A 16,872-nucleotide genomic window follows, 5' to 3' on the forward strand; every position below is an offset into this window, starting at 1 on the left:
GGCCGGCGGCGCGGAGTCCGCCCAGTGCGCGTTCCCTGCGGCCTGCAGCCTCGGCGCCCGGGACCCGCCGGCCTCTCTAGCCGCCGCCGCCGCCGCCTCGATGGTGGGCAGTCGCACGCAGCCTCCAGCGCCAGGAGGGGGCGCCAGGCAGGGCCTGTCCCGCCTGGGGAGACTGCGCCCGGGATAATAGGAGCGCTTGGCCTCTGAGACTACCCGGCAGAAGGGACGTCCCCAAATGACACTCGGAGGCCGCCTCCCTGGGCTCCGGTGCTCGGTGCCGGGAGGAGCGGCACGGCTTTCTACCCCGCCTCAGGTGCGCCAGCACGTTTTCTGGGCAGCATCTGTGTGTTAGGCGACCGGAGAGGTGGGTTCCTTATAGGGAATAAGAAAACTGAAACTGACTTCCAACTGCAGGCAGAAGGAAGCAGTGGTCATTGCTGGAGGTTAAAACTGTTCTGACCGGGCGCAGTGGCTCACGCCTGTATTCCCAGCACTTTGGGAGGCTGAGGCGAGCAGATCACGAAGTCAGGAGATCAAGACCATCCTGGCCAACAAGGTGAAACCCCGGCTCTACTAAAAATACAAAAATTAGCTGGGCGTGGTGGCGCGCGCCGGAAGTCCCAGCTACTTGGGAGGATGAGGCAGAAGAATCGCTTGAACCCGGGAGGCGGAGGTTGCGGTGAGCCGAGATCGCGCCATTGCACTCCAGCCTGGCGACTCAGCGATACTCCGTCCCCCTCTCCCCGCCCCAAGAAAAATCTGTTCAGTGGGGAGCGACAAGGAAGGAGCTTTCAGCCCGACTGGGGTCGCAGGGAAGAATTCAAGATGGCGTGTTTAGGAGCTCTAGCTCCTTGACAAATTAGTAAAATGTTAGTCTTAGGAGAAGAACGAAAAGGCTCTCCTAGGCTAAGAAACAGCATACACAGTGAGAAACCTCAGAAGAAATAAAATTCAAGGAAGATAGCAACAACGAAAACATCAGAAGGAACACTAAAGGTATAAAAAGGGCAAAGACAGCCCTAGGGTTGGGAGGGATCCAGGTTTTTTATGAAAATTAGTGGAATCCCTAAGGTACTTACCTTTGTATTATAAGTATTTGCATGTCTCCTTCTAGAAACGTTTATCACTCTGTGTTACACAGACCAGCAGTGTTGGCGTCAACTGGGAGCCTGTTAGAAATGCAGAATCAGGCCCCATCCCCAGGGTTCTGAATCTGCATTTTAACAAGATCACATTAAAGTGTGTGAGAAGCAATGCTTTGACAGCTGGCAGAGAGCAGATCCAGATTTGATACCTTTTCATATTCTGCATGTACCTTATACAGAGTAGGCTTTTGCATTTGCGGAATGAAGGATACAGGAATACTGTTTACTGTAATCCATTTCTAACCAGATATGCCACTTAGGCTTAAACACGGCCAATGATGGGGAACCCCAAGTTACATAGGCCACCCTTTCTGAGTGAGCAGCTCTATTTGCTGAAACGTTCATTTTTATATTATGAAGTTGACATCCCACTTAAGTACAACAAATTCACTACTCCCCTATTCTTTGCTCTGCCTCTTATAAACTCATTCTTTGGCTCATAAACCAAAGACAGTTTACAGGAAGAAAAAAAAAAGGTACGATTTTACTGCAACTTCTTGCTCACCCCTCCAAAATCTTTATGTCTGAGTACATGCTTTTTGGTTATCCCTACTTTTCTCCCTCCACCCCTCAATTCCTTACCATAGGACACTGAAGCAAGGCCCTTGAAGATACATAATACATTAAACCTTGACTTGTGTAGTATTCAGTTTTCTGACCCCAAGGTGGTTTCACCATGCCAAATAATATGTCCTTGGTATGTATTTCCTTGCAGTAGTCAAATCAGCCTAGCAGAAACAAAGTACGTTAACCAATGGAAAACTGACGGAGAGAAATAAACTGTTTTTGCACAGCTAAATGGAAATGACTTTTGAATTATCTGCTTTGGAAGATTATCCATGACACTGTTCTGCCCTGCTCTGCTCTAACAACATTTGTAAGTCACTCAACAGTTAATAATAAAAGTCAGTTTTGAATATTGCAGGTTTTAGACACAGAACAAATGTAATGTGACACTGTAGGAAGAATGAATTCTCCTTAGTCCCAAATTCCTTTTTTTTTTCTTAGATTCGGGAATAAGTAAAGATACAAGATCCTCTTAACCAGTATCAGTATAATTGTTCCCTTTAGATTTATTGCTGTCACCCCAATGCTCTTCTTTCTTTCTAGAGGAAAGGAAAAGAAGGAGGTAATAGGAAAAGTAATGGGTTGTCCTGATGTTACTGTGTCTAGGATGTCATTGCCACTGGTCTCCTCAGATCAATCATTCTGCCTAATAAACAGAAAAATAACATGGGCAGCCTCACATGCAAGCCTTTACACACACTGCTAAAGAGACCTCGCTTCCTCTGAGAAGTGAGGATGTGAGAATGAAGGATTGATTTTACAGAACTGGATGACAGGTTAAATTGGGCATCTGGAGGTTTATATTCCCATCTCCACTCACCAAGTTTCATCCTCCATTTATGACCAAGGATAGGTATAACATCTGATCTTGATGGTTACTGTTTCAAAAAACAATCTGATCTTTTTTATAAAGTTAAACATTTACTTAATCATGCAGCATACTAATTCCCACTCCTGGGTATTTATCCGAGTGACATAAAAACAAGTTCACACAAAACCTGTAAACACATATATGTCTTTATTCATATAATAGAAAAAACACAAACCCTAAAATGGAAAAAACATAATGTCCTTCACCTGGTGATATGGTTTGGTTCTGTGTCCCCACCCAAATCTCATCTCAAATTGTAATACCCACGTGTTGAAGGAAGGACCTATAACCTTCACGTGTCAAGGGAGGGAAGTGATTGGATGATGGGGGCGGTTTCCCCCATGCTGTTCTTGTGATGGTGCATGAATTCTCACCAGAGATGATGGTTTTAAAAGTGTTTGGCAGTTCTTCCTTCATTCACACACACTCACTGTCTCTCCCCTGTGCCACATAAGATGAGCTTGCTTCCCTTCTACCATAACTGTAAGTTTCTGAAGTCCTCCCCAGCCATGCAGAACTATAAGTAAATTAAACCTCTTTTCTTTATAAATTACCTAGTCTCAGGTATGTCTTTATAGCAGTGTGAAAATAGGCTAATACATCTGGTGAATCAATAATTAAAATGTAGCATAGCTATAAATGGAATACTACTCAGTAATAAAAGAATAACTCGATACATACAATAATATTGATGAATCTCAAATGCATTATGGGAAGTAAAAGAAGCCAGGCTCCACTTATGTGACATTCTGGAAAAAGGAAGACTATACGGTCAGAAAACAGATCAGTGTTTGCCAGGACTTGGGGGTGGGGGGTGGGGAGTGATTGACTACAAAAGGGCATGAAGAAATTTTGAAGGGGAGGTATGGAACAGGTCTGTATCTTGACTGCAGTGGAGTTATTGATACTTACCAAACTGTACAATAAAAAGTAAATTTTTATTGTATGAAAATTATGCCTAAATTAAAAACTATTAATAAAATCAGCATTAGCAAAATATATGAGTTTATACACAAGAGACTACTCAACCATTGGGTAAACTAATTATTTTTAAACAAATACCATTGATTTTAATCTTTTTATAGTTTTTATACAGGCAGAGAAATAATAGTGATTCTGCTCACCTAAAGGAAGATAGACCCAATTCAAAGGTACAGAATTTTCCCCAAATAGTATCATAATTTTTCCTTTCAGATTCCAAAGGATTTGCATGTAAATTCTATCATGTGATCCTCAGAACCACCCTATGAGGGTAAGCAGAACAGATGATCCATGATATTCCATTTTATAAATGAGGTGCAGGTTAAATATTTAGCCAGTATTTCTTGATAAGTATAGTCCATTTATTTCAACAAACCTTGATTGAGGGCCCCAATACTTGTTGAGCTTTTGCTGAGCCACCCCTGCTCTAGAGGAGCACATGCTCTGGAAATCTCTAAGGAAACTACTACAACTCTAAATAGATATGGTGTATAGTGATACTGTGACTAAATATTCACTGCAAATTTCCTCTAAAATTATAGATATACATTACTGGAATAATTAGTATCTCAACATCTTCATTAACTATGAATCTACTATGTATATATCATCACCATGTGAGTATTAATTTGGTACAAATAGGCTGCCAACTCTAAAATTATTTGATGTAGGGCAAGTACTTTTATCTTTTTAGCCATAAATTTTCTCATCTGTAAAATGAGAGGAGTAGGCATGTGATCATTAAATCCTGGGTTACGGTAGGAGGCATCAATATGAAATGTTTAGCTTAATATAGATACAGATGGGTAAATATAGAAATACTTAAAAATGCATGTGGATTCATGTTTAATACATTAGTATACACACATATATTTCCAAGTTCTGTCCTCCGAAGGCCTAGAAGCAATGACAAGCAGAAGCAAGGAGCACACCCAGCATCCAGTTTTTTGTTTCTAATACTGTTCTCCAACAAAGGGAACCAGAGCCCTTGAGAAAAATGCCTAATTCTAGGACTGGGGCAGGGGATATACAAGATGAGTCTGAAACATCTTATAGTGCCAGAAAATAAACAAGTGCTTTAAAAAGACACAAAAAACTGATGGTATATCAAAGTGACATAGGAGCCAACTAAAAGAGCTCCCAATAGCTAAAGCTAGAATAATTCAAAAAATAAGTAATTCAGCATTGGATTTAACCCAAATTATAAAATAAGATCCATGAGTTCATACTGATACAAGTAAATGATTGAAGAAACAAATAATTGGGAGATAATTCTCATATTGAAAAATTCCAAAAAATTTATGTACTCTACCCTCGAGAAGATGGAACATAATTCTCCACCCCATAAGCATGAGTCAAGCCTAGTAAATGTTTTTCAAAGAGCGCAGTATGGAAAGGAGGAAGAACACTACCTCAACCAGCTGATCAAGGCTAACATCTCTAGTATGTCATTAGTGGCATGTAACCTTGATATGATATGATGAGAATAGCATTTGATCTTTGATCTGTTTCCTCCCCGAAACTCATTGCCCCAGCCTAATCATGAAGAAATATCAGACAATCTCAAATTAAGTACAAAATAACCAGTACTCTTCAGAACTATCAAGGCCACCAAAAACAAGGAAAGTATAAGAAACTGTCACAGTCTAGAAGAGCCTGGTGATGACTAAATGTAATGTGATATCCTGGATGGGATCCCAGGACAGAAAAAGAACATTAGGTTAAACTAAATCAAACTTGAGTATGAAACTTCTTTTTTTTTAAGTGCCTAAGTCCTGAATGACAACAAAAGACTGAAGAACTGACAACGATTAGAGGACACTAAGGAGACTTAACAACTAAATGCAAAATGGGACCCTGAATCTGATCCTGGAACACAAAAACTAAATTAGTAGAAAAGTGGTAAAATAGGTGGTCGCGCGCCCGACCGCCGCAGTCCCAGTCGAGCCGCGACCCTTCCGGCTGCCCCCACCCCACCTCGCCGCCATGTGCCTCCGCCGCCCAGCGCTGTTCCCGGGCGTGGCGCTGCTTCTCGCCGCGGCCCGCCTCGCGGCTGCCTCCGACGTGCTAGGACTCAGGGACGACAACTTGGAGAGTCGCATCTCCGACACGGGCTCTGCGGGCCTCATGCTCGTCGAGTTCTTCGCCCCCTGGTGTGGACACTGCAAGAGACTTGCTCCTGAGTATGAAGCTGCAGCTACCAGATTAAAAGGAATAGTCCCATTAGCAAAGGCTGATTGCACTGCCAACACTAACACCTGTAATAAATATGGAGTCAGTGGATATCCAACCCTGAATATGTTTAGAGATGGTGAAGAAGCAGGTGCTTATGATGGACCTAGGACTGCTGATGGAATTGTCAGCCACCTGAAGAAGCAGGCAGGCCCAGCTTCAGTGCCTCTCAGGACTGAGGAAGAATTTAAGAAATTCATTAGTGATAAAGATGCCTCTATAGTAGGTTTTTTCGATGATTCATTCAGTGAAGCTCACTCCGAGTTCCTAAAAGCAGCCAGCAACTTGAGGGATAACTACCGATTTGCACATACGAATGTTGAGTCTCTGGTGAACGAGTATGATGATAACGGAGATGGTATCATCTTATTTCGTCCTTCACATCTCACTAACAAGTTGGAGGACAAGACTGTGGCATATACAGTGCAAAAAATGACCAGTGGCAAAATTAAAAAGTTTATCCAGGAAAACATTTTTGGTATCTGCCCTCACATGACAGAAGACAATAAAGATTTGATACAGGGCAAGGACTTACTTATTGCTTACTATGATGTGGACTATGAAAAGAATGCTAAAGGTTCCAACTACTGGAGAAACAGGGTAATGATGGTGGCAAAGAAATTCCTGGATGCTGGGCACAAACTCAACTTTGCTGTAGCTAGCCGCAAAACCTTTAGCCATGAACTTTCTGATTTTGGCTTGGAGAGCACTGCTGGAGAGATTCCTGTTGTTGCTATCAGAACTGCTAAAGGAGAGAAGTTTGTCATGCAGGAGGATTTCTCGCGTGATGGGAATGCTCTGGAGAGGTTCCTGCAGGATTACTTTGATGGCAATCTGAAGAGATACCTGAAGTCTGAACCTATCCCAGAGAGCAATGATGGGCCTGTGAAGGTAGTGGTAGCAGAGAATTTTGATGAAATAGTGAATAATGAAAATAAAGATGTGCTGATTGAATTTTATGCCCCTTGGTGTGGTCACTGTAAGAACCTGGAGCCCAAGTATAAAGAACTTGGCGAGAAGCTCAGCAAAGACCTGAATATCGTCATAGCCAAGATGGATGCCACAGCCAATGATGTGCCTTCTCCATATGAAGTCAGAGTTTTCCTACCATATACTTCTCTCCAGCCAACAAGAAGCTAAATCCAAAGAAATATGAAGGTGGCCATGAATTAAGTGATTTTATTAGCTATCTACAACGAGAAGCTACAAACCCCCCTGTAATTCAAGAAGAAAAACCCAAGAAGAAGAAGGCACAGGAGGATCTCTAAAGCAGTAGGCAAACACCACTTTGTAAAAGGACTCTTCCACCAGAGATGGGAAAACCACTGGGGAGGACTAGGACCCATATGGGAATTATTACGTCTCAGGGCCGAGAGGACAGAATGGATATAATCTGAATCCTGTTAAATTTTCTCTAAGCCATTTCTTAGCTGCACTGTTATGGAAATACCAGGACCAGTTTATGTTTGTGGTTTTGGGAAAAATTATTGGTGTTGGGGGAAATGTTGTGGGAGTCGGGTTGAGTTGGGGGTATTTTCTAATTTTTTTGTGCATTTGGAACAGTGACAATAAATAAGACCCCTTTAAACTGTAAAAAAAAAAAAAATAGGAATGCGGTCCATGGTTTACTTAATCGTATAATATCAGTGTTCATTTTCTTATTTTGATAATTGTCATAATGTTGTGTGAAATATTCTCTTTAGGGAGCCTGGGAAAGAATATATAAGAACTCTACTATTTTTGTAACTTTTGTGGAGGACTGCAATCATTTCTAAATAAATAGTCTTAAAAATAACTAAAGTAATAAAAATAATAAAGTACATGAGGAAGTCCAGTGTCATGTTGTATAGTCAGAAGATTCTTCAAATGAGAGAATTTGCACCCAGGGAAATAGAGAAAAAAGACTCTGAAAAGAACTTTTTTTGTTTGTTTGGTTTTTGTGTTTTTTTTTGAGACAGAGTCTTGCTCTGTTGCCAGGCTGGAGTTCATTGGCGCGATCTCAGCTCACTGCAACTTCCACCTCCCAGGTTCAAGCAATTCTCCTGCCTCAGCCTCCTGAGTAGCTGGGACCACAGGTGTGTGCCACCACGCCTAGTCAATCTTTGTACTTTTTAGTAGAGATGGGGTTTCGCCATTCCGGCCAGGATGGTTTCGATCTCTTGACCTCGTGATCCACCCGCCTTGGCCTCCCAGAGTGCTGGGACTACAGGCATGAGCCACTGCGTCCGGCCTGAAAAGAGCCTTAAAATAAGTTTATTTAAAATTCTCAGAGAAAGGAAGATGCCAGTTTGAACACACCCCAGCTCCATGCCATTTCTCACCCCTACCCACCCAATTTTCACAAGTCAGAAGCTATTGGTACTAGCAGATAATAGAGTACAATAAAGGCCTAAGGATCAGTGAGCGGCCTGACAGAACAGATACAGGTCCACCTCTCCTTTTGACTAAATCAAACTTTACCATACATCAAAATTATCTAGAGGGTCAAATATGCAGATTGCTGGTCTGTGTACCCAGAGTTTCTGATTCTGTAAGTCTGGAGTGGGGCCTGAGGACTTGTGTCAAGTACAAGGCTGATGTTTCTGCCTCAAGGGCCACATTTTGAGAAACGCGGCCTAGACAAGGGTCTAGAGACGAGTATTCAAGATCCCCAGTAAACGGCATTGTGCAGAAAGGAGTTTGCTGACTCTTAGAACCGTAATAATGCTTCGCCATACCTAAAAAATAAACAATTAAAATCAACTAGGATGTGTGGGAACAAGTCTCTCATACAGAATTCCAAATAATTTATGTAGCTATTGCCCCCTCAAGGAATTAGAGCACAACTCCATGCTTGTGACTGCTTTAGCTTGCAAGTTTGGCCCATGGGTGGGATTTGGGAACTTGGATTTTGGGAGGTTTCTTACCACCTTAACTGATAAGAGTGGCTCACTTTTTTAAAACTGTTTGTACAAACAATGTGATTTATGCTGAACACTTGCTTTTCTTCTGGGAGTCTGGAATTCTGATATGTGCTAAGCAGAGGGTGCCTATGTGACTAGCCCCAACTAAAAACCTCATCACAGAGTGAAGATATGTGAAAGTCTTTCGATTGTTTCCATTTTCTTAGAGGAAAAAAAGAGAAGATGATTAGCTGACTGTGAGGAAAGGAGACAACATATTTGAGGTTTGCGGAGATAGGTTATATGCAGTAATCAACTAGAAAGGTGGGACAGAGAATTGTCTAGAAAAATGAAGTATGATTGGCAGTAGCACTGAAGGTCTACCTATGTTCAGTGGTTATGAATTTCAGAAAAGGCAAGTCACCATACTAGTATTTTTCTCTTGTCATGTTTAGCTGTTTTGATGCAGGCAGATAACCAAAATGAAGTTTAGCTAAGCAAGTATGGAGGAGAGCAACAAAGTAATTGAGAGTGCGTGGTAGGGTGTGATTATAATGTTGGGCCATGCATTTTAAATGAGGTGGGCTGGGAAATGAAGACAGCAGGTTGATGGGCAGCCCAGTGGAGTCAAAGAACTGCTGGAGTTGGAGTACCAGAGTGAATGAACTGAAAAGGTAGGAGAGAGTTTTAGAGAGTGGGATGCTTGAAATTGAGACTTTAGTGGTGTTGCGGTTATTCATGACAATGTCTTAGATATGTCCATGTGGGTATAGGTAGTTGAGATGAGGCAGATTATAAAATCACTGGAGTAAGAAGATCACATAACTAAAAGGCCAGATAGCAGAGTGTTAGAGATCTACCTCAACATTCATTCTCTCTTCCTTCTTAATAACAGAACCTTGATTTTTTTCCTGAGGTATTGCCTCTCTGTATAAAGACACATTTTGTAGTCTCCCTAGTAGCTAGATAAGTAACTAAGTTCTTCCAATAAGACTAAGTGAAAATGTTATGTGGAACTTTTGTAAAGTCTCCTTAAAAGAAAAGGGGTGTGCCATTGTTACATTTCTCCTTCCTTCTGTGTAGAATGTCCATATAATGGCTATAGCTACAGTGGGCCATCTTGGACCATGAAGTATAAGGTCCACATGCTGAAGATAGTGGAGCAAAAAGAGAAGCTGAAGAACTGTTATATCATCTCAGGACTATCTACTTCCAGACTTTTTTAATATAAGAGGAAAATAAACTTAAATCTTATTTAAGTCATTGTTATTTGAGGTTTTTCTGTTAAATGTAGCTGAAGCTAATCCTGACTAAGACATTGGATTGGTGAAAGTATTACCTACATCAGTGTTAAAACCAACTACAGGAGTAGTTTTATATTATAGCGAGGCAGAGAGCTTGGTGCTAAAATCTTTACTGAATGAAGGGGAGTCAACAATTCTGCTAATAATTTCAATCAGAAGTTATGGGTGCGTCAAAGGAGCTGGGGAATTTGGGAAAGCAAGGCAGAACAGCAGTGAAATGAGGGTCAAGGATGACATATATATACCCTACCTTCTTTCTTGTACCAAGATCTTGGCTTGTTATGTCTTATGTTTGATTGAGGAAATGAATTATAGACGAGGACATATCACTTGTGTTTTAAACCACAACTAAACATTAAAGATAACATACCAGGCCGGGCGTGGTGGCTCACACCTGTAATCCCAGCACTTTGGGAGGCCGAGGTGGGTGGATCATGAGGTCAGGAGATCGAGACCATCCTGGCTAACACGATAAAACCCCGTCTCTACTAAAAATACAAAGATTAGCCAGGCGTGGTGGCGGACACCTGTAGTCCCAGCTACATGGGATGCTGAGGCAGGAGAATGGCGTGAAGCCGGGAAGCAGAGCTTGCAGTGAGCCGAGATGGCGTCACTGCACTCCAGCCTGGGCGACAGAGCGAGACTCTGTCTCAAAAAAAAAGATAACATACTGATTCAGATCAATGACTCAGAACAGTTTTTGGAAGAACATGCTTGTCCTGCAGACATTTCAAAATGTTAATCACCCTTTAATCTCCTTTGTCACTTTTTCTAAAAGAATTATTCACTGTTTGATTTAATCCTTTAAAAGTCATCTATTTACCTCCCATATTGAATGTATTCATTTAATTAATTAATTCTTAACTTACTGAGGTCTTACTATGTTTCAGCCACTACATTAGGCACTAGGAACACACAGATTAAGTACAAAATGTATTCCTTCGAGGAGTTTACTAGTTCAAGGAGGAAACAGGTGAGAGAACCAAATATTGTTATATATTATGATAAGGCTATTCATAAAATGTAATTGAGAAGAACACTAGTTGTAATGAGAGCACAGAGGAAGGTGACCTATTTGATACTGAGGGTCAGGAAGATATTCCCTGAAGAGAAAACAGATGACCTGAATCTGGACGATGGTATAGGTGTTAGCCAGCTGGGCCAGTGGAGAATTTATCAAGAGGAAAGTACAGCACAAGAATGTGTATAAAAGCATGGAAAAACTTGGCACTCTTAGAAATTCCATTAGGCAATCTGGAGGTTGTTTAAATGCTGTATTACTCCTAACAAAAGTAACAGGCCCAGTATTAAGTAAAATAATCTTATTTATGAATGTACATGACATCAACATATCATAAATTTGCTAGTGGGGTCTGCTGGGTTAATGTGCACAGCTTCAATAAAGAACATATCTAAGTGATTTTAAGAAGTTGTGTATTTTGACTTTATATCACCATTTTACATTCTCTATAATTATAGTCTATACTTACTCAGCAAAGGAAGCAAAACTGCTGAATTAAGTTACATTATGCATTATTAAAGCAACTTAATTTGTGGAGAAATCATAGAAAAACACAGTAATTTGAATGACTTGTACTAGCCAGTATTCCTCCTCTGAGAAAATTCTGCCAGACCATAGCTCTGGGTCAAATCCTGAGCCAAAAAATAATAATAATAACTCCACATTTCTTTTTATTTTTAAATTTTATAAGAGTTTTAGATTTAAGAAAAGTTGCAAAAATAGTACAGCATTCTCATGTACCCCACATCCAATTTCCTTTATTGTTGACATTTTACATTCCTCTGGTACATTTGTCACAACTAATAAACCAATATTGATACATTATTAACCAAAATGCATACTTTATTAATATTCCCTTAATTTTTACTTAAAGTTCTTTTTCTGTTGCAGGAGTCCATCCAGGATACTACATTACATTTAGATGTTATGTCTCCTTAGGCCCCTTTATTCCGGGACAATTTCTCAGACTTTCTTTGTTGATGATCTTGACAGTTTTGAGGTAGTCAGGTATTTGTAGAATATTCTTCAACTTGGGTTTGTCTGATGTTTTTCTCATGGTTAGACTGCATTATGGTTTTTGAGAGGAATACAACAGAGAGGTAAAGTGGCCTTCTCATCACTTCATCTCAAAGGTACATACTATCAGTGTGACTTATTACTGTTAGTGTTAATCTTGATAACCTAGCCGAGATAGTGTTTATCAGATTTCTCCACTACAAAGTTATTTTCCCCCTTTCCATATGTAATTTTTGGAAGGAAGTCACTATTCAGCTCACACTAGAGAAGTAGGAAGTTCTGCTCCATATCCTTGAGGGCAGAGTTCATAAATTATTTGGAATTCTTCTTCATGGGAGATTCATCTATTCTACCCCATTTATTAATGTATTCAATTTTCTGGCACTACAAGAATATATATATATTTTTGTAATCGACTTTAAAATAATTAGGAAAATGATAGAACATTTTAATATAAGAACAAGATATGGTAAATTGATGAATATTATTAGACATTATCAGTAACAAGAGCTTTGTATCTTAAGTTGTTTTGAGTTCAATTTCTTGTTCACATCTTTTAGCTTGGTTGAGCTAAAAAATCATTAACCATTGATTTTTTTTTGTAACCTTGCATATAATATGTACAATGAGAGAATCAATTAATTTAGAATTACATACTCCTAATTTAAAAAAGAAACTGGTGTACTTATTGCTGATAACTAGGAATTATATTATCAAAGGGCTGTTAATTCAACAAATTTACATGCTAAAAGAGAAATTTATATGTTAAAAGAAATTAAAAGGAAGCAAGAGACATTCAATTTGCTTTTGATATGCAGATTTAAAAATACTAGGTCCATTTTAATAGATGATAAATCTCCAGTATCACAAGGATTAGGGAAAGCAAAAGACCTGAAAAGTAATACCAGTTCTCAGTTCTCTAACTCTCAAAAGGCATTCCACAGGTAAATTCGGTGAAAGGGCCGGCAATTGTTCAAATGTTTAAATAAGAAGAAGTTGTAGTTCTCACATTTCCAGTTCTCTTACAGGTGTGTGTATTTGGAAAGATAATACTCTCTAATGTTGGTCTTTTCCATTGTTCAGGTTTATCCTGTTGTTAAGTAATAAGCAGCAATCCAAATACAAACATATTGTACAACAGCTATTAATGAACATCACCTGAGTTCAGTGTGCCTGACAGCTGACACTTAGTTAATTTCTCCATGAAACAAGAACAGTGAAACTTCCACAGATGAGAAAACAGAATCATCAGTGGCACTGGGATGTAAACCCAAGTACCTGCTTTGCATTTCATTTGCTCTGTTTTTCAGAACTACACTTTACGACATGAGAAAAACTGGTATAAGCAGAATGTTCCTACATTTAGTTAATATCAGTTCTAATTTAATACATAAATGACTTGTTCAAATACTTACTTAGACTCCATGTAAGGGAGGAGAAAAGGGGAGAAAATTAGAGTGGGGGAAGATGAATCAAATCACATTTGTAGACCACACTACAACAATTGGAAGCTACTTATCATATTTCCTAAGATAAAGTTTTGTTGGATCCTAATATGGGAAGGATTTAAAAGAGATTTAAAAAGGTAGGACAGCTAATTTAAAATCCCAAAATTCTCAACCAAGTTGATCTCATTGGCAGATGGTAGATGATCTGAATGACTGTGAGCCTAGAAAGTTGAAAGTAATTTCTTTATTGAGAAAATAAAGACATGGTTCCTAAGGAAAAGGGCTAAAAATGACCATGTTTCAAGTACACTAGTGAATAGCAAGTGAAACAAAATGTCTTAAGCATCTATATGTCTTATCTTAGATACATACAACTATTGTAGGAACATTATTTCTCTTATCTCTCAGGAAACATATTTAGTTATAATATGAAAAAAAACTAAAATTGAGCTTCTAATAGAAAATCAAACCCTATCAGAAGAAGAGTTACGTGGAGTAAGCGATTTTATACCGATGCTGACTTACTCTCCCTACCATAAAATTTGATAAACAACAAACATTTATTAAGCACCTACCACATGTCAAGAACTCTGCTAAAGACATACAAAGATGACTAAAAGAGTACCTGAGCTCCCAGTCTAGGGATTACCACAAGGAAGAGTGACGGATCATGAGTGGAAGGGAGATGAGTTAATACAAATGGAAAACAGGTTTCATTGTAGGAAAAAGGAAAGTGAATTAATGCTTTCGAAAGAGACATTAAAGTAGATTTCTGGGCAATATGAAACTGAGAGTCAATCTCGTCAGATTCTGAAGGCATCTGTAGATAAGCTTCCCAATGAAAAACAGGGCAGTGACAATAGGACAACTAGAAGTAAGCTATAATTATAGCAAAGAAGGCAAGAGCTAGCATAAACTTGCCTATTGTCATTGTTGAAGTCATAGAACTACTCCTTTCAACTACTCTTGTCATCAGAGGCTTCCTGATGCGATCATCTGTGGTGAGGATAGCTTTTCGAGCCCCATCCCACTTTCCAGGGCCCTGTACACGATAGTGGATTGGAGTGCAGGGTCCCAGTAATAAGTGTAATGCCAGCTTGGGGTCAGTGAAGGCCAGAGACAGCAGATTGGGCCTGACCCCCACCAAATCAGCAAGCTCTTCCATGGTATCTATGTAGTCTCCCTGAATGGTATGGCGTTGGCTCTCCACATACCTAAAGTAGAAAAGACAGAAACCATGGCCTGTCAATAATTCAATCAGTCAGTCAATCAATTACTGCCTTCTGAGTGCCTGCTATTGGCTCAATATCAGACTAGGAGCTGTGGAATATAGAGAAGAAAGATAAAACATTGGTCACTGTCCTTAAGGATCTTAGGACTTACAAAAGGAGATAAGACAGATAAACATGAAGCGAGACTTCTGAGTGGTTTCAGACTGCCAAATAGAAATGTGGAGAGGGGATAGTTAAAAGAGAGCTGTAATCGTTAGGTTCTTGAAGGATGTGAAAGATACAGATAAGATGAGGGGCAGGTATAGCACATCTAGATACAAAGGACTCTGATGTTATGAGAAAGAGAAAACCCATCACAAAAATTCTCAAGTATGGCATCCTCTATTATTTGATGAGGGCAGTGGTGACAGGGTCCACAGGGCAGGACTTCCCAGGGCCAATGTTAATTTGGAATCCTGAAAGGATGAGGGAGAATGATTTATTCCACAAGAGGAAGTAGCCCTCCAAATGGAGACAAATGAAATTATTACACCAAGTGCAGATTTAAAGATTTAAAAGGGCTTTTTAAAGGGGAAAATGTGGTTGATTAACAGTGATATCTGTGTGGTGGAGTGGGATTTGGTGAGCTAATGAGTGACTTTCACTTTTTACTTTCTGTAATGAAAAGAAAGAACTGTAGGACAGAGAGGAAGAGAAAAGCCAAGTCAAGCCAATTGAGATTGAAGAATCCAAGAACAGGGACAGGAAAAAAATGATAGAAAATAAATTTGAGGTAGAACTGGTGAGATGGAATTTCAGAGGACCTGATAGAGGGTCAAGTAGGAATTTATTGAAATGGGACTAGATTTAGGAGAGAAAAAGGTAAAACAGTAAAGAATTTGAGAGCTTTCCCTTATGAACAATATGTTGGCTCAAGAGTTTGTAGACATGCATTTATTTATCCTATAATAGTAGGTCAAGATCTATACTATTCATGAGGTTGGGCGTGGTGTTTCATGCCTGTAATCCTAGCACTTTGGGAGGCCGAGGCAGGCGGATCACTTTGAGCTCAGGAGTTCGAGATCAGCCTGGGCAACATGGCGAAACCCCATCTCTACAGAAAACACAAAAATTAGCTGGGCGTTGTTAGTATGCCTGTAGTCCCAGCTACTCAGGAGGCTGAGGCGGGAGAATTGCTTGACTCCAGGAAGTGGAGGTTGCAGTGAGCCAAGATCACACCACTTCACTCCAGCCTGGGTAACAGAGTGAGACCCCATATCAAAAAAAAAAAAAAAAAAAAAAGAGCTATAGTATTCATGAAGGTTTCACAAAAGAGGTTCACTAGCTCCTGCCTTGATTATGCAGATTAAATAAACTCATATAAAACAATGTATACACATAGTCGGCCTTTAATAAAGGTTACATGTATACATATGTAAAAAACCTGCACGTTGTACACATGTACCCTAGAACTTAAATATAAAATAAATAAATAAATAAATATTTACTATTTCAGAAGTTAAAAAAAAAAAAGGTTACATTATATCCTTGGGTTACTGACTACTCAGGTTCAGGAGGTGGTTAGACAAAAATAAGTCAAAGGAAAGAGAGGAGGAAAGTTAAAATAAGATACTTTAGAGCCAGAAAAGAAAGCACTGCAAGAAGGAAGAAATGTTTAAAAGCACCAAACTCAGTAGTGAGAAGAAGGAAAATGAAGTTGGTCACAGGTGACCTTTAAGAGAGCAGTTTCCGGCCAGGTACGGTGGCTCATGCCTGTAATCCCAGCACTTTGGGAGGCTGAGGCGGGCAGATCACAAGGTCAGGAGTTTGAGACCAGCCTGGCCAACATGGAGAAATCCCATCTCTACTAAAAATACAAAAATGAGCTGGGTTTGGTGGTGTGCACCTGTAGTCCTAGCTACTCAGGAGGCTGAGGCAGGAGAATCGCTTGAACCCAGGAGGCAGAGGTTGCAGTGAGCGAAGATCGTGCCACTTACTCCAGCCTGAGTGACAGAGTGAGACTCCGTCTAAAAAAAAAAAAAGGCAGTTTAAGGAGTAAGGATGGAAGTTAACAATGCAGAAGGCTTAGGGAGGCAGCAAAAGGTGAGAATTTAGAAAATTTAGTGCAGAGGTTTGGCAGTGAAAGGAAGGAGGAAAATAGGAGAGCACCTGGAAGTTGTAACGGAATTAAAT

General features: G+C 39.9%; 2 protein-coding genes and 1 pseudogene across 13 annotated transcripts in view, besides 1 other annotated feature; 2 read left to right on the forward strand and 1 right to left on the reverse strand.

The window, feature by feature from the left end:
* Positions 7-236: a silencer, noted in NCBI's record as "silent region_1278". NCBI's record gives its function as "represses an Ori minimal core promoter by ATAC-STARR-seq in GM12878 lymphoblastoid cells {active_cell/tissue: GM12878}" and the evidence as "EXISTENCE:reporter gene assay evidence [ECO:0000049][PMID:35858748]".
* Positions 184-16,872, forward strand: part of CHD1L (chromodomain helicase DNA binding protein 1 like) — a 123,016-nt gene continuing 106,327 nt past the window's right edge. The window contains exons 1-2 of the mRNA NM_001348451.2: positions 184-996; positions 1,861-2,022. The gene's annotated coding sequence lies outside the window, so the exon portion shown is untranslated. The remainder of the gene's footprint in view (positions 997-1,860; positions 2,023-16,872) is intronic.
* On the forward strand, positions 5,288-7,386 carry PDIA3P1 (protein disulfide isomerase family A member 3 pseudogene 1; annotated as a pseudogene). The gene is given in 1 exon segment (NR_002305.1): positions 5,288-7,386. The product of NR_002305.1 is annotated as a protein disulfide isomerase family A member 3 pseudogene 1 (transcript).
* FMO5 (flavin containing dimethylaniline monoxygenase 5) overlaps positions 11,742-16,872 on the reverse strand; it is a 42,980-nt gene continuing 37,849 nt past the window's right edge. For 10 of the 11 annotated variants that reach the window (XM_005272947.6, XM_017000802.3, XM_005272948.6 and 7 more), the window contains one exon: positions 13,698-14,682. In XM_005272947.6, the coding sequence (XP_005273004.1) occupies positions 14,337-14,682 (346 nt within the window). In that variant the 3' untranslated portion in view covers positions 13,698-14,336. Of the gene's footprint in view, positions 12,068-13,697; positions 14,683-16,872 lie in introns of those variants that run through there. The other variant, NM_001144829.3, reaches the window with a different exon arrangement.

The sequence above is a fragment of the Homo sapiens genome, chromosome 1 (genome assembly GCF_000001405.40).
Source record: "Homo sapiens chromosome 1, GRCh38.p14 Primary Assembly".
In the NCBI taxonomy this organism is placed as follows: domain Eukaryota; kingdom Metazoa; phylum Chordata; class Mammalia; order Primates; family Hominidae; genus Homo; species Homo sapiens.